Source organism: Homo sapiens, chromosome 6, assembly GCF_000001405.40.
Source record: "Homo sapiens chromosome 6, GRCh38.p14 Primary Assembly".
NCBI classification, from domain to species: domain Eukaryota; kingdom Metazoa; phylum Chordata; class Mammalia; order Primates; family Hominidae; genus Homo; species Homo sapiens.
This window is the reverse complement of record NC_000006.12, coordinates 68,086,482-68,113,719: the sequence shown is the minus strand read 5'-3', so window position 1 is coordinate 68,113,719 and position 27,238 is coordinate 68,086,482. Positions and strand designations below refer to the sequence as shown.

The window sequence follows — 27,238 nt, the reverse complement described above, 5'->3', positions numbered from 1 at the left end:
AATAAAAAAAGAATAAATGCTCTTGTTAGTTAAGGTATTAAAACTAGCAAAGTGTTTAACAAAGTACTTCTTTACTCCTTCAGTTAAGTATGACATATATGTGGCAGTATAACATATTTGTTAAACTTTTCATCATCAAAGTATATTATTACCACATATAGCAATTAAAATACCATTTTCTATGGAAGAACCTGTGTTAGTCTTTTATGCAGCACAATTCAGCACCTGAATGCTAATTTCAATAAACTCAGTTTATTACCACACATTTCCTAAAGGCAACTTTGAAAATACACATGTAAGCTAGGACAGATCTTCCAAATGCTTCACATTTTATTCCCCTTCGAATGTCTTTAAATACAACAGCTCTTCTACTGCTCTGGTATATATTTTATTGTGAACCTTGAATAAAACCTCTCATGCAGTTTCATTTAATGTCTTATTCACGTTTTCTTCTCTCATATTATTTCTCCATTTTTTTTTTCACCAGATGTTCAAAAGATGGTTTGTCAAGGAAGAATCTTACTGAAGAAAAGAAATGAATGGGTCAACAGAGAATCCTCCTCATTGGAAATGTAAGGAAACCAGTAGAAGCAATATGTTAATGTAATTTTATTTCAATTATACAATACTACATTTAATATTGATAATATATTTGGTTTGGATTAATGGGGATTTAATTTAAAAGCAAAATACCAAGATTATAACATTAATAAGAGAAATATAAAAAGGTTTTTTTATTCAGTAGATGTTTATTCTATGTGAATAAGCAATTTGAAACACAGAAAGTATTAATGAACAAAATAAAATTCTATGTTTATCCTATTAGTAGAAAAATTCAATGGTAAATAGTTTTAAATAACGTAGATTATTAGGAAATTTTATTCATTTCTGACTTTTTCACTTACTACATGTATGAGTATGAGCATATAACTAAGGCTAAGTTTCTTCCTCTATAAATTGGTATTAATAACTTGGAGCTGCATTATCAATAGAACTTTCTGTGATGAAGAAAGTGTCCTATATCAGCTCTGTCTGATACAATAGCCACTAAGCACATGTGGTTATTGAACACTTTGGATAAGATTGGTGCTATTGAAAATCTGAATTCTTAATTTTAGTTAATTAATTTTTAAATTTTATTTATTTATTTTGAGACAGCCTGTTGCTCTGTTGCACAGGCTGGAGTGCAGTGGTGCAATCTCAGCTCACTGCAACCTCCCCTCCTGGGTTCAAGGGTTTCTCCTGCCTCAGCCTCCTAAGTAGCTAGGATTACAGGCGTGTGCCACCATGTCTGGCTAATTTTTGTGTATTTAGTAGAGATGGGGTTTCACCATATAGACCAGGCTGGTCTTGAACTCCTGACTTCAAGTGACCCACCTTCCTCAGCCTCCCAAAGTACTAGGATTACAGGCGTGAGCCACCATGCCTGGCCAATTTTAGTTAATTTAAATGAAAATAGTTATATGTGGCTGGTGACTACAGTATTGTTCAATACACCCTTAAAGGATTTAGTGATATTACCATGAAATTAATTACATTATTTATTAAAATAATTTCTCTTTTCATTTTCTCATAAAATTAGCAAAGGTCAAAATGTTGGCCAGGGTGTGTTGAGAATGTCTTTCTAATAAAATTATTATGCAAGAGTGTACTGATACTATATTGGAAACAAAATTTGTATATCTAAGTCTTAAAATGTTAATATTTTTAACTGTAAAACCTTATTTTGAAATATTACCCAAGAAAATAATCTAATTTTGACATTACAATTTTTGCTTAACTGACTTTATTTTGAGAAAAAGATTGGTCAATTGCTATAAGCTTTTACTAATCCATTGTAGGTGCAAATTATGTGACACTTTGAACAATCATTAAATTAAGTACATATTAAGATGCCACGGGTTTATATGAGTTTGCTGTAGTGAGAAACAAGAACAACAAAAAACAACAATACACTGGAAACCCTAAGAAAGACATTTCATGTCTCTTATCAGTTAGTTGTGTGTCTTTGGGAACACCAAATGACTGCTCTGGGTCTTAGACGTTCTCATATGCAAAATGAAAGATGAATAATCTATAAAAGACATTTCAGTTATATAATTCTATGTCTCTTGCTGCTTTTTCACTGAAAAACCCAGAAACAAGTTGTAAAAAATAGTCTTGTTGTTTACCACACTTGTATTCAATACAACGTGTATCTTTGGGGAAGAATTAATATTTATCCTGAGGCAAAGATGCTTTCAAGGAGGATAATTTGTCAAATACTCTTTGAGAGCACACTGTTGAGCATCATCAAAGCAAGGGAAAGAGTACTTGGACTCATCTTGCAGTAACATACAAGGAGACTCTTTGGAGTGAAGCATGTAAAACGAGAGCTCCAAGGCACACACAGCAGTCAAAAGAGAAATGAGCCGGGCAACAGACCTGAAGAAATATTAACCGTGCTGAGAACTTGACTATTTATATAAGGTTTAGTAATAAGATACAGTCTAAGAGAAAGGATGTGCATTTAGATTTTTATCTGCCTAAATTGTGGTGATAAGCTATAAAAGAAAGCCCTAGATTATCTGTAGGATGCTAGTGAGATGAACTGTATATAGAAGTATTTTTAATCTAATTAATGTGTAACAGATCTATAATATCATCAGCCATTACATTTGAACTTAAGTGACAAAAAGCATGGTGCTATTAATGAACTACGAATGTGAGAAAGAAAAGAAAAAATTTGGGAGAAATACCATATTTTAATTTTTGACTTTTTGGAATCATAAGACCATAAGAAAGCTAAAGGGAATGAAAATCTGAAGCTTCAGAAGGAAGTCATAGTGAAAATTTTTTTACAAGCGTCGTGCATATTCACTGAACTCAAAATTCGAGTCATTATTAAGGCTACTAAATTACATGCACAATTCAATTTGTTAAGAAATGTGGTTCCATCAACATATAAACAAACAGGATCCATTCAGACAGTAAGACAATTATATCTAATAAATGCAAACCAAAGATACTTCCCCTCCGACTTTAGCAGTAATCCTTGTGCATTATTCCTACATTGTATCTAATTGCCCTTCCATTCTTGTCCTAATCAGATCCTGAACCTTGAACTTGTAAGACATTTGTCCTCACTCCTATTTTCTGCTCTTGTCCAGAGAAATTTGAATTTGATTTTCTCCATTTAACTGTATTAATCTGTCCTTTAACAATAGCTGACCTAGCCTCCTTACTGGATCTTTCTCATTGGCTATGAAAAGTGGGATAGTCTATCTAGCTAAATTGTCCTTCTAGATCCAAAATTCTGTCCACAGCATTGGCATTGGGTGCTACATCTCAAAATGATCCCCCCTTTACTGGAAAAGGTTTTACTACACATGGGTTACTCTTGAAGTCATATCTATGCTACAGGAACTGTTTTTTTGCTAGGGTTTCTAATCTAGGGAACATAACATGATCCAACTTAGGAAAATCAGATTTTCTTTTCCAGAATTTAAAACTTGAACGAAGACACAGATATTAGGAATCATGAAACCTAAGACCTTAGGGACATGTTGGCAACATAGAGATCATTTTTGTGAATTATTGTGGCTGAGGTTTTGGGGCTGCTCTGCATCCAGACCAGGAAAAAAATCTGCATATTTCAGTTTCCTTTTGATGCCTGAGTTGCCCAAAGAAATACGTTTATTTTGGAATAAACTTATTCTAATAAGTTTATTTTGCTTTACCTTCCAGTGCAGATTTTGACGAGAAGAACCTTGGCAAACACAACCACGCAGCCCTATGAGGTAAAAATACACATAAGCAGGAATCACAAGAAAAATCTCTCTATATATATACAAATTGTAGTCTATCATTTTTTCTCTCTCTCTGTGTGTGTGTGTGTGTGTGTGTGTGTGTGTGTGTGTGTGTCCAGGGTGTCTCACTCACTGAAGCCATCTGATCCTTAATATTCTAACATTTCAAGTGAGCTTGGTTATCTCTTATTTCTCTTACATTCTCTAAGAGTGCTTATTTAAAAGACAGGTTACTCTGACACAACAAGAGGTGCTGACTCACTAAGGGGCTGAGTAGGAAATATGGACTATAAAACTGCATTTATTCATTTATGTTCACTATTTTCTATGTTTGCATGTGTGTATGTATACACATATAGAAGTGATATGTATAACAGTAGCTCTTCCTTATTCTCAGGGGATATGTTCCAAGACTTCCAGTGGATGCCTAAAACCATGGATGGTGCTGAACCCTATGCATACCATGTTTTTTTCCTGTATACACACAGTTATTATAAAGTTTAATTTAAGCTTGGTGCAGTGAAAGATTAACAATAATAACTAATAATAAAATAGAACAATTCGTGTAGTAAAAATTATGAGATTGTGGTTTCTCTTAAAATATCTTATTGTACTGTACTCACCTATTTTGGGCCTGCAGTTGACAATGAGTAATTAAAACTATGGAAAGTAAATTGTGAATAATGGGATGGTACTGTATGTATTTATAAATATGTCATTGGTTGAAGCAGCAAAACCCACAAGGAGTAGGTTATATTCTCCCTTTTAAAGAAACTCTAATGAAATTTTGTAGAAAGAAAAAAAACAGAAACAATTTCATACATAAAGCTAGAAAATTTAAATGAAATCTTTTCTCTCCACTATATCACATATGCTTTAATAAAGAAAACGAATGGTTTGTGAATTTGCCTTATACCTGTAAATATAAGAGAAGAGCTCTGAATCATAACTTGAATCTCAGTTAATGAGAGCTGTCTTATTTTAAAGATATTTCAAATGTTCAGAATGCACATGTGTACTGACTTTCAGAAGAAGCTAAGCATGTTAATTACCTAAGTTTTATAGCCTATGGACAATGTAAACAGAATTACTATCCATTGAACCTTTTTTTCAAACTCATTATTTATATTTCAAGAATGTTCTAAGTTATTTTTAAGAGCAAAATGATTTTTAATCATGTCAAATAATATAAGAGACTATTCACATATCAGGTGTCAAGAAATAGAAATACAGCCCTTTGCTTCTGGCAGAAAGAGAATCTAAAAGAAGGCCATACCCGTGCCTCATTAGTCACTCCTTGGTATCTTTACCACCATCAACCTTTTTTTTTTCTATTTATTTCATGGGAATTTACCAGTCAACCAGAATTGTCAAACCATGAGAAATTCCCTTTCCTCATTTTCCTATATGCCTCCGTGGAACACTTGGGAGCAGACTTAGTAACTATAGCCTTGTACTGAATTTTAACTACTGACATGAAAGTGAAAGGTACTATGCTGAGTCATTGTGTCCTTCTCCCTCTAGATTAACTCCATTTTTAGTCTCTGTTACATATGGTAAAATACCAAGGTGTTGAATCAGTAATCTTATGGAATTACAGAAATTTCCTCACTGTTTTCATTTTAATTGAATTGAAAAGAACTTGGAAGTTTGAAGATGGTGATGAGTCAGATGTCATGGTAAACCTTTAGCTGAAGAGAGAAATATATTTTCAGGGCTTACAATTAAAAGTATAACAATGGGTAACTCAATGCAACTGTATGTGTGCCTATCCAGAAGATAGAGGAAGGGTCATAAGTATCTTAGCACATTTATAGTAAACTAATACTGTTAGAGTTTCTCCCTTGGATTTTTACACAAAGGAAATGTAAAATAAACAAACAAACAAACAAAAATTAGGCCTGGCATAGTGGCTCCCACGTCTGTAACCCAGCACTTTGGGAGGCCAAGGCAGGTGGATATCTTGAGGCCAGGGGGTTGAGACCAGCCTGGCCAACATGGTTAAACCCCATCTCTATTAAAAATACAAATATTAGCTGAGCTTGGTGGTGGGCACTTGTAATCTCAGCTACTTGGGAGGCTGAGGCAGGAGAATTGCTTGAACCTGGGAGGCGGATGTTGTAGTTAGCTGAGATTGCACCACTGCACTCCAGCCTGAGCGACAGAGCGAGACTAGGTTAAAAAAAAAAAAGAAAAAAGAAAACAAAAAATTATTTTTCTTTCATTCTGACTTACAGTGGTTTCCTTAGTTTATATGTCATACTTTGTAGTTGTATTAATATTGCTTATTCTTCCTCTTTCCTTCCTACTCTTTCCCTCTCTCTCTGTGTCTTTTTCTGTGTCTCTCTTCCTTTCTGTATGATAAATCTCATGGGAAATTCCTCACCCTAAATACAAGGAAACTAAAAAGTTTGTGTAAAAATTGAATTGAAAGACAAAATTTTTTTAAAAATAATATAAACTTTAAACTTTATTTCTCAACATAAGGGCCATCAAGCTCAATACATATTGTGAGATTATATCAGCCGTTTAATCCATCCCTAAAGAACTGATAGTCTTAGGAATTTAATGTCAATGCAGTCTTTTCTTATTAGGTTGGTGCAAAAGTAATTGTGGTTTTGCCTTTCAAAAAGAAATGGCAAGGTCGAGTGGGATGGCTCACGCCTGTAATCCCAGCACTTTGGGAGGCCGAGGAGGGCGGATCACTTGAGGTCAGGAGTTTGTGACCAGCCTGGCCAACTAGTTGAAACACTGACTCCACTAAAAATAAAAAAAATTAGCACGGCGTGGTGGCTTGCGCCTGTAATCCTAGCTACTCGGAAGGCTGAGGCAGGAGAATCACTTGAGCATGGGAGGCGGAGGTTGTAGTGAGCCGAGATCGTGCCACTGCACTCCAGCCTGGGTGGCAGAGTGAGACTCCGTCTCAAAAAAAACCCAAAAAAGTAATGGAAAAACCGCAGTTAATTTTGCACCAACCTAATACATTGTTAACTGAAAAATGGATGCCCTTTACAGATTTGTTATGATTAGAAAACAAAAATGACTTAGAGCCAAATCAGAAGGGTTAAGGGGATGCTTAATGATTTCCCATAGAATTCCCACAAAATTACCCTTATTTGACGAAAGGAATGAGCATTGTCACGGTGGAAAGGGACTCTCAAATCGAGGTGTCTTGAGCATTTTTCTGCTAAAGCTTTTTCTTACTTGCTCAAAACACTGTGATAATAAGCAGATGTTATTGTTTTTTGGCCCTCCAGAAAGTCAAGGAGCAAAATGCCTTGAGCATCTAAAGAAAACTGTCTCCATTAGCTTTGCTCTTGGCCATCCTGTGTTTGCTGTCACTGGACCACTTCCAGGTCTTGGTAAGCATTGCTTTGATTGTGCTGTGTCTTCAGGATCATATTGGGAAAGCTATGTTTCATCTTTACTATCCAATTATTCAAAACAATGCTTCAGGACCTTGATTGACTTGTTTGAAAGTTCCATCAAAAGCTCTGCTCTTCTCGGCAGCTGATCTGGGGGTAACCATTTTGGCACCCATCAAGTAGAAAACTTGCTCTCCTTTAATTTTTTAGTCAGAATTGTGTAAGTTGAACTAACTGAAATGTATATTGCATTGGCTATTGTTTTTGCTGTCAATCATCAGTGTTCTTCAATTAGGGCAAAAACGAGACTGAATTTTTCCTTGCAAGTTGATGTGGATGGTCTGCCACTACAAGCCTCATCCTCAACACCATCCTATTCCTTCTTTTAAATCCATTTGTAAACTGCCTAGTTATTTGAAGACTGTCCCAATAAAGTTTTCATAAAGCATATGTGATTTCACCATTCTTTCATCCAAGCTTCACCATAAATTTGATGTTTGTTTTCACTTCAATTTTAGCAGAATGTATGTTGCTCTGATAGGGACTATTTTCAAACTGATGTCTTATCCTTCCTAATGTTTCAAACTAGATCCTGTTGAGACATGTTATTAGAAGGTAGTATGAGTTTATTTTGATGCAAACATAATTTTGAAATCCATGCCTACTTTTTCGTAATATGCATTTTCCATGAATTTTTAAATGTTCCCTCATATTTTCTTTAAAGTTTTCTTCTAAATTTTCTTCCCTCACATAATTCAAGTGCTAGGTTTAATGTATGTTGTGCCTCAATAGTGAGTGTTGGTCGTGGCTAGCACCTTTTAAGCTCTGGAGAGCTGGCACTGAGGCAGCTGTAGGGCTTGGATAGGTGATGGCGGTTCACAGAGTGAGGTCAGCAGGTGTTTGCCATAACTATCATGAGAACAACTCCAATATAAATGTTGGTCCCAAAAGGAAGTAAAATGATTAGTTTTATTGATAGGTATTTATTGTAAGTGACACATAAATCTGTGGTTACAGGGGTTGGCAAGATTCCTTATTTTAAAATTCAATCACATATTTTATGACTTGTAAGGCACAATTTCTGTTGCCTTTGCCTTTCTTTGCTAAAGCCATAGCAATCACAATAACAGCAGCATACTGGCTCACGGGTTCAACTAATATAAAATGCTTTGGAAATTGGGAAAAAAATTAAATATTAAGCCTCCGTGAGTATACTGTAAATTGGAACCATGTCTGTCTTGTTCACTGCTCTATCTCTAATGCCCTAGCACAGAACCTGGCTCATGCTTGGTACTTGATAAATATGTATTGACTGAATGAAGGACATTACCATCTTCTCCAGATGGCTGTGACTCCCGCTATTTTTCTGTGATCTTATTATGTACTTAGGACTATCTCTGAGTTCTCAAACCCGAGTTACATTTAACCAAGTTTTATTACTTTTATATTTTTACAAAGTAAAACACAATTTACAAAGCTAGATAACTATATCCAAATGTAGCTAAAATATAATCTAATGATTGCTATGTTAGCATGATAATCAAAGTGCTAGGAGAGCATGGAGCAAGGAGTAATTATTCCACTTTGGAATTTCAAGGGATCTAGCACAGAGAATTCACCATTAAATCTAAGCCTTGAAAGGAAAGAATATGAGTATATGAAAAGCATTATAGTAAACATGGCAAATCAAATACATGTGTTTCCCTTTTACAATCCTACATGAAACTTGAAAAAATTATAAGAAAATAATGAAAAAATATACATATATATATATATTTCCACCTCCCCCTCAAAAAAAAAAAAAAATCAGAGTATTAGAGCAGGGGCAATTGCATATAGGGGTTGTCAACACATTTTTGCACCAGAAGAAACAGCTGAAGGAAGTAATAAAGAAAGATGTCAATGGTCTACATGGATAGTGGGGTGCCAATGAGAGGTAGAGAGTTTTAGAGGATATAATTTTATGAGATTATTACAATAAAAATTAGAAAATATCTTTTTATAACATGTTTTCATTATGCTACACTTAAACTTCTGAATTTTTAAATGTTTAAGTAAAATTAAGAAATTTTGTGGAAGCAAAGATCGTTTAAGAGGACCATTTTCAAATTTTCATTAATATATATTTGCCAGGAGGTGGAAACTTCTTTGGGACATAGAACATTATGGGGAAAAACAACTAAAAAATATTCAAAATTTCAGTTAACAGTTTTGACTTACAAGAATATTTTATCAATATAAATATGAATATGGTTTGATTTTGGAAATGTTATTATTCTGGTCATTGCTTAAATAAGAAACAAAATTATGCTTGTCTTCATTTATTGTGAAAGTTTACAATAAAATTCAAGACTACATTGCTAATGGCTAACAACCCATTAGTTTATAATCTTATTAGTTTGTAACAACAAACATCTATGTCCTGTTCATGTTGTATGTAATCAGATACAAGTTACTTCGATCTGCTCTATATGTCTCCTTTCCCCAGAACCCAGGCTAAAGGAGCAGCCCTATTTTGAACATATTATTTTCTTATCAGAGGGAAAAAAGAAGGAGAACTGGTAGAAATTTTTAGTGCCTTCTAAGCTTCTGCTCATATTATAACATATGCCATGTTTTCTCAAATACCACTTATCAAGTACATCACAAATCCATGACTATCATTAATGGGACAGAATACACTCCCCTCACAAGGCAATGAATAAGATGTGATGCTGAGCTGGGGTGAATCCTCCTACAGGGCATGGAAATTATACCTGAGAACTATAATACAATCTGCTACGCTATCCCTGGTATAAAACCAAAACAACAAGTATACCACCAAATATTGTTCCAAATATTAGTCTATGTTGCTTAGCATTATTAAAGAGGTTTGTCTATAACAAAAAATTATAGCACACTTCAAATGGGAAATATTTGGCGAAATCTTGTTGAAATCAAAACGAAGCATGAGTGGCTAGTATCATGATTTCATAAAACTGTGACTTTATACCAGAATGGAAAGACAAACTAAGTGGCAACACTTTCTATTCAGTAAGTTATTTATGCCTTTTAGTGCATTTAATCATTGTTTTCTCTTGTCATGAAAGTATTCTACATTTACATTCTTATAATAGATAATTCATGGACTTCTATCTACTGTGAGTTGAATCACTTTTTCTGTTACTCTTTAAATCAATTATTACTAAGAAGCTGTTCTGAGATTTCATTATGTCTATTTTCTTCTCGGTTGATTCATTTAAAGTTATAAGTCCTCCAATGATGGGCTATAAGTGATTTTTCTTTGATTTTCAACATTTTGTTTAACAAATATATATTATATTAAAAGGTAAAGTCTCATTAGAAAATCTCTAGGGTCTTTTCTAGTTCAAGCATTGTATAAGTTATCAGATGGCAGCAGCTTGAGCAATTCAGAATTCATATTATGAAAGATTAAAGGAAACCTTTGTATTTTAAATATCAAAGCCATTTTAGCCACAAAAGCTAGCATAGATACCATTTGATACAGTTACTGGCAACAGATTAGCATCTTGATTATACTACAGGAACAGAGTAGAGCAAGGAATTAACTTATAAATTATGCTCAGGAACAAACAAATCAGCCAAATGTGGTGTGGAGAATGATTTCAGTTATAGCTTAAGTATTACTGTCCATTGAGAATCAATCAACATTGAAAATATTATTCTGTTTTGTGTTGCATATGGCATGGAAAGGCATTCTTATTATGTAGCAGGGAGTTTTAGATACATTTAGGATGAGACAAATGTGATACATTTGGAGAGTTCAATGTTTTATACTAATACGTTGCACTTCACTTTTTGAATAGCAACAAGCCAGAAATAGAATATTAGGTAAATCCTTACTAAGTATCTGTACAAAACAATGAATTCCAACTAAATCGAGATGAGACTATTTTTAAAGTAATAATTGACTTTAGAACAGAGGAATGAGGGATAGACAACAATATGATTAATGGATGAACTATGGCTCACATGCAAAAATTAGGGTAGGAAGACATCAAGGAAAAGGCAGTGTTCATTTCAAAGTGTGTTGCATCCCACAGAATCTTGCAAAGGGATGGGGGAGGAAATGGCTAATAATATTTATGCTAAAAATTTATTGAAAAGCTAGTAAATACCAGGCAGAATGCTACGTTCCTTTATAAGCCTCATTTAATCTAATCCTATCAACCTCTCTGTGAAGTACCATGATTTCTATCTAGTTTAGAAAATGTGAAAATTGGCTTAGAGAAGTAAAATAATTTGTCCAACAACATAATTTCAATCAATTTTGATTCAGTTTCATTAGATAGAAAAATTGTTTTGTTTATAGTTGTAAGACTGCTGCAGTCACATGAACTTTGATGAGAGTAAATGAAATCATACAGTTTATTAACTCCTGTAGGCTAGGCTTTTTATTTTTTTCTTAAAACTGTGGACTGAGCACACATGTTACTCTCAACATACCTTATTGGAGTGATGGTGTAGTGAATCAATAGACCTATATGTTAACAATTTTTTGAAGTGAAAAATAGTGGAAAACAGATCTACAGAAAGATAAAACAGAGATTACTATAGCCTGCATTGTGAACAGGAGAGGGCTGCATTATTATTCGGTGGTGATCTTCCCTATGAAAATCAGTATAGAGAACAGGTTAAGAGCTAGGTACTGAGTATGAGAAATGAAATGAAGTAATTGAAAGTTTATCTCCAGAGAGGTTTCTTCAGTTTCTTCTCAACCCTTCACCAAGAGAGCCAAGCAGTCCGGTACTTATAACCAAAAAGGAAAGAAAACCAAAATTACTTGGGGTCCTTTTTAAAAACAAGTCAGTTAATCAGAATGTGGCTCACCTTATTTTGATATATTTTGGCCTCTATGCAGACGAGCACTCTGATTTTTTTTTTTTTTTTTTTTTTTTTTTGAGACCGAGTCTCACTCTGTCGCCCAGCCTGCCGTGCAGGGGCTCCATCTCAGATCACTGCAACCTCCGCCTCCTGGGTTCAAGAGATTCTCCCACCTCAGTCTCCCGAGTAGCTGGGATTACAGGCACCTGCCACCACACCCGGCTGATTTTTGTATTTTTAGTAAAGACGAGGTTTCACCATTTTGGCCAGGCTGGTCTCGAACCGCCAACCTCCTGATCTGTCCACCTCGGCCTCCCAAAGTGCTGGGATTACAGGCATGAGCCATTGTGCTCGGCCCACACTCTGATGTTTAAACAAAGTGTATAATGCAGCAAGCCTGGAAAACATGTCAATTTTATTCAGAATTCCAGTCACTATTTCCTTTAAGGTAGAAACCCCTTAGCAAAGCAGAGCAATAGCAGAGGACTCTTAACCTGAACTGAGAAAAAGCGAGGGAGCCTCCTTAAGTATGAAAAAAGCCTTAAGAAACAACAGATATATAAGGAAATTTAGTATGAAAGAACAAAGCAAATAAAAAATAAAGTAATGGACCAGGAGGAAGCCAGAAGATACAGTTTTATGAGTATTCAGGGTGAAAATCTCTTATAATATAGAGCATAGGCTAGACAGTGTGAAAAAATATAAACAAGAAAGATGATTGATCTAGAAGTGACACCTTACTATGATGTTCTAGGCAAGGATAACTGAAGAACAAATTCATCAGAAAAAAAAAAAAGAAAGAAAGAAAATGAGAGCCAGAGGGAGAGGGAGAGAGGAAGGGAGATGGAGGAGAAGAAATGAATCATTCATGCGTAAGAAAGACACAAGTCTAGATCAAAGGGCCTGCCAAATGACATATAGAATATATATTTTAAAATTCACACCCAGATCTGATGTAAATTTTTTGAATGCACAAGAAAATAAGGAAAAACTAAAATTATTCAAATCAGGAGGAGGGTGGTGGTAGACAAAACATGGGTGACTTAGAAAGAAATAGCTTCAGATTATTATTAACACTGGACTCTAAAAAAAACTCAATAAATTTATGTCCAATGCACATGTACGTAACTAAAGCAGCTTCCAAGAGAACATATTAGTAAAGTGAGAGCATGCAACGCAGTTAAGTGTGAAAGTGTTTTAGAATGATCACTGTGCAGCTGGCTTTGGAAGTGGTCAGCCCAACTTAGGACAGTTAAGTTTTGAAAATAATGTGTTCAGGGTTTTTTTATTCTTATTTTTCTTTTATTCTTCTTCTTTTCTTCTTTGAGGATCTTGCTCTGCTGCCCAAGCTGGAGTGCAATGGCAGGATCACAGCTCACTGCAACCTCTGCCTCCCAGGCTCAAGCAAACCTCCTGCTTCAGCCTCCCCAGTAGCTGGAACTACAAGCACACAGCATCACGTCTGGCTATTTTTTGTATTTTTTTATAGAAACCGGGTTTCGCCATGTTGCCCAGGCTGGTCTTAAACATCTAAGCTCAAGCAATCTGCCTGCCTCAGCCTCCTAGAGTGCTGGGATTACAGCGTGAGCCACTGTGCCTAGCTGAAAAGAAGGTTACAAAGAACAGGAGAGTTTCATTACTTAGCAAAACATGAAAGACTAAAATATAGAAAAATGTTGTGGTTTCATGAATAAATTATGCATTTCTGATTCAAATATGAAGCAAACCAAAATCTGTTCTTATTTTGATCAACTAACTTAATAGAAAAGAATAAATGTATCTCCTTTTTGCTAAAATTATTATTCTAGAAAGGTCATACCAACCCATATCAACCCAGTAGAATGAAGTATGCAAATTATTCTGTAGTATATGCAAACAATATGCAAAATGTTGTTTACCAATATTTATACAATCACAAACAAATCATTTATTTCCCTTTTATTGAGGCATAATTTATATACGGTGTATGTACAGATCTTAAGTGTAAGTTATATGAGTTTTGAAAATGTACATATGTATGCATGTAACCCACATCCCTATCATGATGTAGGACATTTTAATTGCCCTAGATAGTTCTCTGGTGTACCTTCCCAGCAACTCTTGAGCTGTGCCCCAACCCTAGGCGACTGCTGCTCTGATTTCTACCATCTTTGATAAAAATCTATCAATTTTTTTATTCACCATAGAGCTTTATTTTTAAAATGTCACACTATATATACCTTTTTGTGATTTTTAGTAAAATGTTTTTGAGATTTAGACATGTGTGGTATTATTAGCTGATTCCTTTTTATTTCTAATAGTATTCCAATGTATGAATATACAATTTATTATGCATTCACCTGTTAATGGGTATTTGGGTACTTTTCACTTTTAAGTTATAATGAATAAAGTTTCTGTGAACATTTATTATCCACATTTTTCCTTATGAATATAGATTTTTATTTATTTTAGGTAAATACCTAGGGCTGAAATCTTTTGTGTCTTAATGGTATATATGTGCTTAATTAAAAAAAAAACACCAAAAAATTTTCCAAATGTTGATATGATTTTGCTCTCCCACCAACTATATATGATAGTTTTTGTTGCCTCACAACCTTGACATTTGCTGTTGTCAGATGCTCTTAAGCCATTTTGGTTTGTAAGACAATTAGTAATATATTGTCGTTGTTATTTTCATTTACCTGATAACTGATAATTTTGATCATCTTTTCACATGCTTATTGGCCATTTTTATGTCTTTCTTTGTGAAATGTCTATACAAGGGTTTTGCTCATAGCTCTGTATTATTGCTTGTCTTTTTATTATTGAGCTGCAGAAGATGATAGATAGATGGAGAGAGAAGCAAATAGATTTAAATATCTAAGTTTTAGCACTAAAAGATGTTAGTTCTACGTATTGCAAATATATTATCCTACTGTGGCTTTTTTATTTATTTTCTTAATGCCTTTTTAGTGTTTTTTAAGCTTTGATGAAGTTAAATATACTTTGTCATGAGACACTATTCCTCAACATACTACTGGATTCAATTTACAAGTACTTCTTAAATACACTTGCATTTACGTTTATAGGTATGTTAGTACTTTGGAGAAGGGGGTTATATGTTTTTCAAGTTTCATATCAGGTTCATGCTGGTCTCCTGAATTGAGTATGGGAGAATGGAGTGTTCACCCTGTTTTTGTTAAGTGTTTGTGTAATATTGACATTATTTATTCAGTAAATGGCTTGAAATAATTCACCATTGAGGGTATCTGGGCCTTGAGTATGTAGAAGTGTGTGTGATTTTGTGCACAGTGTGTGTAAAGACTCCATAATTAGTTTTATTACAGTCATGCGTTGCTTAACAATGGAAATACATTCTGAGAGGTATATTGTTAGGTAAAATTTTATCATTCCAACATCAAGGAGTGTACTTACACAAATCTCCATGGTATACTCTACTGTGTACCTAGGCTATCTGGTATAGCCTAGTGCTCCTAGGCTACAAACCTGTACAGTATGCCAATGTCCTGAATAATGTAGGCAATTGTAACACAATGGTATTTGTATATCTAAACACATCTAAACATACAAAGAGTACAGTAAACATATGGCATAAAAGATTAAAAATGTTATACACCTGCTGGGGGCACTTATGATAAATGGAGTTCGCAACACTGGAAGTTACTCTTGATGAGTCAGTGAGTGAGTGGTAAGTGAATGTGAAGGGGTAGGACATTAGTGTACACTACTGTAGACTTTATAAATGCTGTATACTTAGGCTATCATAAATTTATTAAATTTCTTTCTAGCAATATTAACCTTAGCTTGTTGAAACTTTTTTATTTTGTAAACTTAATAATTTTTTAACTTTTTGAGTCTTGCAATAACACTTAGTTTAAAGCACAAATACATTGTACACTTGTAGAAAAATATTTTCTTTCTCTATCTCCTTATTTTATACATTTTTTTATATTTTTAAAACTTTTATTTTTTATTTTATTTTTACCTTTTAAACTTTTCTCGTTAATCAATATACAGCTGAGTGCAGTGGCTTAATCCTTGCACTTTGGGAGGCCGAGGTAGGAGGATCACTTTAGCCCAAGACTTCAAGACCAGCCTGGGCAGCATAGTTAAACCTCCTCTCTACAAACGTTAAAAAAAAAAAAAAAAAAAAAAAAAAGCCAGTTGTGGTGGCATGCACCTGTGTTCCCACCTGAGATAGGATGATCGCTTGAGCCCAGGAGGTCCAAGCTGATCATGCCACTGCACTTTAGGCCCTGGGTGACAGAGCGAGACCCTGTCTGAAAAAACATAAAAATAAAAATAAAACAATAAAAACCAAGACACAAGCATACACATCAGGGTAGGCTCAAACAGGGCTACGATCATCCATATCACTGATTTACCTCCACATCTTGTCCCACTAAACGGTCTTCAAGGGCAAAACATGTATGGAGCTGTCATCTCCTATAATAATAATGCCTTCTTCCGGAATACCTCCTGAAGGACCTACCTCAGGCTATTTTACAGTTAAAATTTTTTAAAATGTAAGTAGAGTAGTACACTAAAAAAACAATAAAAAGTATAGTATAGTAAGTGTGTAAACCAGTAACATCATTTCTTATCTTTATAAAATATAGTGTACATAATTGTATGTGCTATACTTTCATATGACTGGTGGCACAGTATGCTTGTTTACACCAACACCACCACAAACGTGAGCAATACATTGCCCTATGATATTATGATGGCTACAATATCCCTAAACAATAGAAATTTTTCAGATCCATCATAGTCTTGTGGGACCACTGTCATGTACATGGTCCATTATTGGTCAAAAGGGTGTTAATGTGGTGCATGACTGTGCTTAATAGGTTTAGAAATTTTTAGGTTTTCAACTCCTTTTGTTGTCATTATTTGCAGGTTGTGATTTTAAATAATTATTTTATTTTATGTACATTGTAAAATTTGCTAGCGTAAAGTCGTCAACTTTATACTGCTAGCGTCTATTTAATATCTACAGATTCTGTAGTGAAGTCTCCTTTGTTATTCTTGATATTGATAATTTATGTTTTCTATTTTTCCTTGATTATTCTTATTTATTTATCAATTTCATTAATATTTTCAAAACTTAATTTTTAAAATGTTGATATTCTCTGTTCTTTGTTCATCTACTGTTTTAATTTTTTTGTTTTTATTTCTACATTTTCTGTCTTCTACTTATGTTGATTATAATTTGTTATTTGCTTTCTAACATTTTCATGTGGAAATATCATTGATGTTCTACCTTTCTGTTTTCTAATATACATCACAAATTTTCATGTTATGACTTCTTTTGCTGCAGCATCTTGATAAACTATTACATAACTATGAAATGTCCCTTTTGTTTTTGGTATTACTGTTGTCTTACAATTCAATTTGTCTGACACCAATATAGATACAAGCTTTCTTATGTGTATATTTAATTTGGTATGCATTTTTTATCCCTTTTTAAAAATCTCTTATTTATATTTAAAATTTTTTCTTGCAAACAGTGTGCTGTTGAGCTTCACATTCTTATTCAGTCTGACAATCTCTGCATTTTAATTTTTTATGCAACTATTGTTAAGTCTAACACATTGGCGTTTATTTTCTCTTTGATTAATTTGTTCTTTTCTTTGTTCCCACTTTTGTGCCTTCTTTTTTAGTAAATCATGTACTTTTATCTTCTATTTATTTTTTATGTTTTATTATGCTTCCTTGTATTATTAATTTTTGTGAGTTACTTTAGAGATTATAATGTCCATTTTCATCCTATTACTATCTTTGTTGAAAAGCATATTTTAGTAATGTAAGAACCTGATGTAATATGGTTTTCTTATCGTCCGTCTGCTTTTTTGGTCTAATAACACATAATTCACATCTGCATATAGTATCAATTGTGCAACACTGATAATTTTACTTCACACAGTCAATGCTATGTTATGAAAATTTTAGTAGTTGAACTTTGAAGTTTTATTTTTATATTTATCCTTTCTGGTTTCTTCATTCACTCCTGAAGACTTGTCTTTCTTATGATATGCTTCAATTTTTTATCATCAAAAAACATTTTAAAAAATATTTCTTGATATTCAAATCGATTGGATAAAAATTCTCATGTCTTTTGTTCATCAAAAAGACTTTAATTTGCCTTCATTTGGAGAACACATATTTTACTGAACATGGGATGATTCCACATGGCAATATTTTTGCAGCCCCTTAAAAATGTGTTCTATTGTCTTCTGACCTCCATTGATCTGAAGCAATGTCCTTTACTCTGTGGTGACTTTTTAAGATCCATTCTTTATCCTTGGTTTTTACCAGTTTGTCTGCTATACATTTAAGTGTGTTTTTCTTTCTACTTATACTTTCTGAAGTTCACTGGGTTTTATGTTTCTGGTAGTTACAGTATGTCTTTCACTTAGAAAAATTTAAATATTATCTCTCTCTCACTCTCTCTTTTTTTTTTTTTTTTTTTTTTTTTTTTTTGAGACAGAGTCTCATTATGTTTCCTAGGCTGGTCTCAAACTCCTGGGCTCCAGTAATGCTCCTGGCTCAGCCTCCTGAGAAGCACATGCCACAACAACAGGCTTTGATTTTTTACATACTTTTGATTTCTCCTCTTTTGTGAATTTCAATTATGCATCTGTCAGAACATTTGGCATAGTCCTACAGATCACTGTATGTTTCTAATTTTTAATTCAGTTTGAATAATTTCTCTTGTCTTTTCTTCAAGTTTCTCTGCTGTGGCTATTTATTTCTAATACTACATTTTCCAGGTATAAAATTTCTATTTGAATTTTTTTCATATTTTCCATCTTTGTTGAGATTCTTCAAATACACACACACACACACATATATATATCTTTTGACTTTTTCATATATATTTTTATTTATAAGCCTGATAAAAACCAACATCTTGGCCATCCTTGCTTGTTTTCTATTAAATGTTTTCTCTCTTGACAGTTGGTTATATTTTCTTGCTTGTTTTTACTGCATTTTTTAAAGGTTATCCCAGATTTTGTGCAGAAAATAGTAGAAACTATATTAAATGATATGTATACCCTCAAAATATGTGCTTTTCTTTTTGTCAGGCTTCTAGTATTGAGCAAGTATTTCTGAGACAGTTATCTCTGTAGAAGGTGAATATGCATTTTTGTTGTCTAAAATTTAGTTCACTACTGTCTTGAAATTATTTGAGAATGGAATCAGAGTCTTCTTTTTATCAAAATTTGAAATCTGATAACCAAAGATGTTCCAGAGATTTGCTCCTGGTTTAAAGTCCATATGCCTGTTTTATAAACAGTAGGAGATATCACAGTGCTTTAGAACCTGTCAGCTTTTCTACACAGTTTATTCTCCCATCTGGCCCTTTCATTTTATGTTTATCTTTTTCTGTTCTGCTTTCCTGTCCCAAGTCTTAGATGGTGAAGGCTGTATTTTCTATGAATGTCCACATGCCTGCAGGAGTTGTCCTCCCAGTTCTCTTTTTTGTCTCAGCAAGAGTGGTCCTTTCTGTTCTCTTTTTTGTCTCTCAGCATTAGCAGGACCTGTACACCTATATATAGAAGTGGTATCTGTCAAAAATTCCAGTTTGAAAGTTGATACAAGAGATATAGAGAAAAATATAGTTATAAGACCACTCTCTTATGTAGTAAATAATTAGGAAGTATTGTGTAAATGAGGGAACAAGTGATGAAGATGTATTTATATTTAAAGTTTGAATGCTACTTGGAAGGATAAATGCAACTATTAAAATTTAAGGAAGGTACATGAAAGGGGAATATGAGTATTACATAAATGAGCAAACTAGTAATCTTCTATAGAGACAATTGGTAGGGTCTACAGTTTATTAATCTAGAAGTAAATATAAAATATTTAATGTTGAAGTAAGCAGAAGACATTGTCACACTTAGGAAGAGACAGTGGTGATGAAATCATGTGGGGAAGAGAATCGTTTTATTATATGAACAATATGTTACTTAATTTATAAACAATACATCCAGTGGATATTCTAGTGCTTTTTATTGTAGGACAAGAAAAACCAAAAGAGGAAGGGAGGGGAAGATACAGGATATAGGGCTAAGTATAAAACATGTGTTTCTTTTCTAATAAAAAAAATGCATCTTTGAACATTAATACAGAATTGCTTTCACAGTTCTGCCTAGTGATATGGCTGAAAATGTAAGCCCTAGTGAAATGAGATCAGAGAAACAGAAGTTGATGCCTGTTCTATCAATGAATGTGCACTATATCCTTAGGTTTATAGAAAATAAAATTTTATTCTAAAACGTTTTCTTTTGAGAACCCCCAGGCTATAAGATCAGAAAAAGAAAGAAACTGGATTGTGATTGAGATACAAAACTGAATTATATCAGTGATTTTATATCTTTAATTTATTTTGGGCTTTTGTAGGAGGGTAACAATTATTCTGTGCAATGTAGTATGTATTTATATGCAAACATGACTAGGATATACTTTATTATGTGCTGCTTCTCTTCTGCAATCTGTAGCTAGAAATTAATGACCAAAACTATAAGTTCTGCTTGAACTATCTATTGTAGAGAAGCAATGAATTTTATTAGAATGCAAATATTAATGGATTGAAGTAAATATGAATTAGTATATCCACATAGAATGGCTAATATTGATGAATGCATGTATAAGAAATGAATGTCAAGAAAAAAGATAAACATGAGAGAAAGAATGAGACATTTGGAAAATAAGTTATAGTCTAGGGATAATTTATTTAAATAAATGCAAATTAAACCTTCAACTCCTAACATTGATATGATCCACAAATTAAGAATGGTAGTAGTGCAAAGCTCATATTTGGAGCTTACTTTACTCAAAACAGATCTTCATCATCTTACCTTAGCATTAAAACAACAGAAGCAACTAGAGCAAGTCACTGCAAGTGAGTGACCCATGACAATTAAATTGTAAATTTGAATTTCTTTTTCTTCTATCCACTGCTGGAAGAAAAGTGTTTTTTTATTTTTCTAGTTTTATGAATAATAGGAAAGAGAATGAGGATGTGTGTTTAAAATAGTATTAGCATGCTGATTCCTTTTACCAGAATGTTTTCAGTTATAGAGCATAAGGGTTACATACTAGGAGAAGTTGGAATAGTAAGCTATGAAAATGAGAGTTTGTACTAAATTGTAGTAATAATAACTTGTAGAGAATAAGTGAAATTCCAGAACTAAAGTGTTTGGAATTTTTTTTAGACTACGACTGAAAGTCTTTTAAATAGAAAAGAGTGAATGGTACAAAAAAAAAAATCTGGTGAGATCATGAAAACACTCAGAGAACCAGTAGCTTTAACATTAAATCTACATATTTCAATGGCATCAGTGACCTAATCACACAGAGTATATGCTTCAGAAAGCATACCTTTTGCTCAGTTCACAGGTCATGTGTTTTCATATTCGATCACGCATGAATGCACAAACTTTTTAGTGCAATATTAATCTTGATAATTTAAACTCCTTAAAGTTATGAAATGCAAATTTCAGGTTCTTATAGTTAATTCTGTTTTCTAGGAGACATTTTGCAACTCTTTTTGAATATAAGCAAACTCTAATTACCTTGATTCTGTTGAGTAGCCATTTATATATTGAAATTAACCTTAGAAATCCCGTAAGAGGTTTATATAATAACCATATGATGTTTTCTTGAAGATAGGATGTGAGGCTGAGTCAAGGAGGCTTTAGGTGCTTTCACAGCAGCAGAATCCTCTCCAGCTGTCTTCCAGTGTTTCCCAGAAAAGTACCTGTCCTCGTCATTGCTGTGATGTGCTTACTGCAATTTAACTTTCCTAACATGTTCTCTCTGATGGAAGTCTATGCAGGAACGCAGGGTAGCGGTGAGTACCTGGGAGGGAGTGGCAGGAGAAATGTAAGAAAGGCAATGGAAATAGGGAAGAGGAAGTGGAAGAGGACGATAGGAGAAGAGTAGATTGATTATATAAAAGATACCAGTATTTGTTGCTCTGGTATGTTTAATTTTATGGTTCCAGAAAGTCATCCCATTACATGTAACTTCTAGATATGGTGTTCTTTAGAATCTAACCTACTCACGGATAGTGAGATCAGTTTAGTTCACTTCACAAGTTTTAAACAAATACAAAATAGAATAGACAATGTAAATGCCTATTACATATCATAAAGATAATATTGTTTAATTACAATTCATTTTATCTTTTTTATATATTTACCATCTATATTCAGCAATTAAACTAAAGTTTCAGTTATTAATGACACAAACTATTATCAAACATTTTCCCTGACTATTCTCAGGCAATATTGCCCCATAAGCTCATTCTAAAAATATACTAGAGACAAAACTTTAGACAACCAAAATAACTAGAGAGACATCAATATAAGAGCAGTAATAGGTGGTGATAGTATTAACATTGTATTATTATTTCAAGAATGTTATATTATAAATTGTATCATAAAGTGTGATTAAGCAAATGAATAATCAAGAATGTTGTATTCTTTATTATTCCCTTTATCATTGAAAATGCTGGGAAATTTTCTTTGGAAATTTGTATGAAAGAAGGCAATAGAGATATATTGTAGAGGGGATTAAGTAAACCGCATAGTCCTGAATTTGAAATCACCCTAAACATCATGACAAATGCATGTGTACACACACACACACACACACATTTATGTATAAACAGATATGATTATATATATTATTTTATATATCTGTGATAACATGACAGTATATATATGTGTGTGTGTGTATATGTGTGTGATGTATATGTATATATATATATATATATATATATATATATATATACACACTTATCCCCAGATTTGTCCACTAAAAATCCTAGAACCAATTAGCAACAATGGCAATGAACGTTCATAGTGCCAAAATTGTGGTTAGGCAATATAATTTAGTACCAAAATATAAGGTATTTTGGGGAAAATGTTCAAGGTAAGCCTGAAACGTCTTGACATGCTAGATAGAGATATCAAGCTCTTAAAGTCAATGAGGGTTTTATGAAAAGGACACCACAGTCAACTTGAAGGGGTTCTCACTGGCCTGCGAATTGGCATTTTGTACTTCAATATGCATAAGAATTGCAATCATGTAGAGTAAAGGCGAAAAAATATGTTTAAATCTCTGAGCTTATACATTTTAATTGGCGATTTTCAGAGGTGAGAGAGAAATTGAAAAATAAGAAAATTACAGGATAGAATTGAGCATTTATTCTACCTTTCCTACATAAATGAAACCTTGTAGAAATAATAGATACAAGCAGCATATGATAAAATTATCCTAACCAATAAATGAAAACAAAATGATGCAGTTAGAATATTGCCATTTTGTACCCACCTCTGCAATGAATAAACAGGCATCGAACAACATCAGCATTTTTGCTACTTTTCTCCAAAAGCAACAAAAATAGATATATAAATGTCTTCTAATGAAGAAACATACAAACACTTGAGTTCCATCAAGTCTTTGTATCTAGCTGTCAAATACATAGAACTGAGAAACACATGTAACTTCCCCTTAAAGGATGCAATCAGACATATCCAGACTTCAACTGTTAAACCCCAAGATCCAAAAATACTAATGAGTTGGATTTATGTTTCTTTTCATTTCCATGACTTGATTTTAGTTAATAATGTTTAATTTACTATAGCCTACCTACAGTACATACGTAGTATTTGGTAGGTTAACTTCCCCCTCTTATTTTTCTTCAGAATTATCTTGACTCTTCCTCACTCTCATACATTATTAGGAAGTTAGGATTACCTTGCCAAGTTATTTGAAGACTGACATGAAATTGTGGTAGAAATTTCACTGAGTTTTTGATCATGGCATAATTCTGTAAATTAATATTTTTCTCTGTTTTTATTGGTGCCTTCATTACTTTTATTCAAAAATATTTTTTTTAAATTTATAATATTCCAGACTTACTAACAATATATTTAATTTTTATTATTTTAGTGGGATGTGAATGAAAGATTTAACACCTCAGAGGCATCCACTCTTACCAGTTTCTTGTGCAATATAGTGTCTGCAGAACCAAGTTTACAGCCCATTCTTACTCATGCTTTCTTATCATACCGTATGGTGCTTACATGCATGCAGATGATGGTGCTCACCTTTGCCTGCAAACATGTTGTTCGTTCATCTCCTTTACTCCAAACAGCTGTTTTTTGGCACTTCTCAAACCTGCACGTGTGCATGAATGTGCATAGAACATTCATGGAAGAATGAAAATGGAAAAAAAATGGCTCATGATATCCTTTGATTTAAGCAAGAGTATTTATGGGGCAGGGATTCCTGGGGTTCTGGATCACTAGAATTTGTTGTAGAAGGGGGATGATGGGCTCCAGGTGGTCATGCTCTTTCCTCTTTCACCCATTTCTTTCATTGTGAGGAGCAGTGCACCTGGAGAAGGGCAAGAAGCTCTCAAATTGTGGAGTCCAAAGCACATAACTTCTTGCTTGTTATAAAGTAGAAGAAAGTTTCTCAGTTAAGCTATGAGGGAACAAGTAGAAGAAAGTTTCTCAGTTAAGCTATGAGGGAACAATGAGAATTGTAAAGGGACACACTGACATATGAAAGCCAAACGGTATTTTGAAGTAGGTAAGGTAGTAAACACAGTAAACGCTGCAGGTGGATTTGACAAAATAAGGAAATAATACTATGCATTGCCTTTAATAACATGAATTGCAAAAGCAATTTCAGTGACATAGTTAGGATAGCCTGTAATAAATGTTATTTCCCTTATTATAATTACAGTATCTCTCAGCTACAGTACAAATTTTAATCCTCTTCATGTTCTGTTGTATCTCAATTCAACCATATAAATCAATAAACCTTTTCCATGAGTTTTGGAATGAAGAATTCTCTACTTGTTGAAGATAGTTCCAGTGTTTTCATTTGAGTTCAGATACTGTAACATAAATAATTTTATTGCTATTATCTACCCAACATTGAGCTTGGCCCTTTTTACTCAGTAAATATTTATTGAATTAGCACCACTGAATAAAGGAGCTTGTCTGTTGTCAAGTGGATTGTCTACCATTACTGAAGCAGTCACGTTTTCCTCCTTAACCCTGAAAAAATGTCTGAGTTGATGTATTATTCTTGAGGCTTAGGCATTGGTGAGCCAATTTATCTCAAATAGAGGCCTCTGGAAAGTAAAATTCTCAGCTGCCTGAAGAAACAAGCTTATTGAGATAATTGAAAACAATTTCAGAAACAACTACTTGAAGTAAATCCTACTTACTTCAGTGGCTGAAAATTGAGAAAGGAATCTAAGTTTACTTGAGGCATGAAAGAAACAAGTGGAATATATGAATGCAGCAATTTTCTTTCTCGTTGCTGTATTTTTAACAAGAAAATACAACAGTGAGTGTTAACTGCCAGTTTCAATCATTTTTGCCAAAAATGGCCATTATCTTCCCCCAACTAAGCACAAAGTGATTTATTTCCACAATTCATGTTTAATATTCTTGTAGCTAACATAAGTTACATAATGCTTTGTTCTCTTTTCCCCTCTTTTGACCATTTAGTGCGAAACAACATTTCCAAGAGTGGTAAGAAGGAGCAAAAAATATTTTCCTAATTTCTTTAACTTTATAATCTTTTCTTTTCAGCCTGAGTCTGAGTTGGCTAACAAAACAGCTGTGTAAAGTTATAGGATTATTACAATGAGCTTGGAGAAGGTAGAAAGAACAAACAGAGGGGACTTTTTTTTACTTTCTGTTTCATCACCAGAGCCTCTTGGCTTTGACTTTGAGATTTGAATAGTCTCTCTCTCTCTCTTTTTTTTCTCTTGAGCAAAATTCTATTGCAATAGGAAGTGGTTTTGATTTGCTTTGAACTTGTACTCTGCAACTGAAGAGAACAAGTTCTTGAGCATAATTTTAATAATTGTTGAACAATTGGCTATTTATCCAAAGAGTTACAACCATGAATCTGAAACTTATTTTAGTACACCAAAATCAACACTGAACTTTCTAGTTCTTTTTTTATTCTGATGCCTCTTTTGCTTCAGAAATTTACTTTTTTATTTTTAAATTAAATAAATAAAATTATTTATTTATTTATAAATTTTTTAAATAAACTTATTTATAAATTTTATTTTGTTAAAATTTATAAAATTTATTTATATAAATTTTATTTATAAATTTGTAAAATTATTTATAAATTTATAAAATTAAATTAAATAAAAAGATATACTTTTTATTTTAGATATAGGACTTAGCTCTGTTGCCGAGACTGGAGTGTGGTGGCATGATCAAAGCTCATATGGCCTTAAATTCCTGGCTCAAGGGATCCTCCTGCCTCAGCCTCCCAAGTAGCTGGGCCAACAGACACTCTCGCTCTGTTGCCCAGGCTCATCTCTAACTCCTGGCCTCAAGTGATTCTCCTGTCTGGGCCTCCCAAAACACTGGGACTACAGATGTGAGCCACCATGCAGAGCTTCCTTTAAAAATTTATATGTTCCCTTCTTATTTTGTTCCACAAAGTCAGCAAATAAAAGTAAGTACTGTGGTTTGTTCAGTGCCCTCAATTTTGCATTAACAGAAAGTTTCTATGTCTTCATAATATTGGGGTTTCTTCACTGTAACTAAAAAGGCATTTTGTGGAAATATTTTTAAATTAAAAGTAATTTTTCTCTTTGTATCTATAATTATTTTATTTTGTGAAATTCAGGCTTCTCAAAAACAATTTTCTTCTAAATAATGAAATATCTTTAAAATGTTATCAGTTAATGAAGGTGTGTACTTTTCTCTAATGCATGATAAAGATACAATTTATGTACATATTTAATTCTATTAGAATTTCTAACATATTTATTTACTTTATTTCTCTGGAAGAGCATTGTCCCTGGCAGCAAGTACAAGTGGTTGATCCTGTGCCATTTGTGGTACTATCAAAATACAACTACCTGAGAAGCTAAATACTCCCCTGAGTTGTTTTTTAAAGACATTCACATAAGGTTTTTCAAGCATACCATTCTACTTCTGCATTAGTCCAAAAAGCTTGATAATACTGTGTAGATAGTGAACAAAGTCAGGGGAGTAAGGCATTGACCTCAGAGAGCTCTAATGTTCAAAAAGCAAGAATACTCCAAGGAAGGAGAGCAGAAAAGTGCTAAGGGACTAGAGTGGCCAGCACTACTGTGTTTCTGCCTGAGTAATATTATCATTAACAGTTATACACACTACGAAATCCTAGGTAAAATTTTATATAAAG

The 27,238-nt window shown here is 33.4% G+C and overlaps 1 long non-coding RNA gene across 1 annotated transcript, besides 1 other annotated feature; it reads right to left on the bottom strand.

The window, feature by feature from the left end:
- Positions 1-233: 233 nt before the first annotated feature.
- Positions 234-22,003, bottom strand: LOC105377846 (uncharacterized). The gene is made up of 3 exons (XR_942663.3): positions 21,586-22,003; positions 3,720-3,772; positions 234-522 (listed from the first exon to the last, which is right to left on the bottom strand). It is a non-coding gene; the product is annotated as an uncharacterized LOC105377846 (long non-coding RNA).
- Positions 25,655-25,754: an enhancer, noted in NCBI's record as "active region_24724". NCBI's record gives its function as "activates an Ori minimal core promoter by ATAC-STARR-seq in GM12878 lymphoblastoid cells {active_cell/tissue: GM12878}" and the evidence as "EXISTENCE:reporter gene assay evidence [ECO:0000049][PMID:35858748]".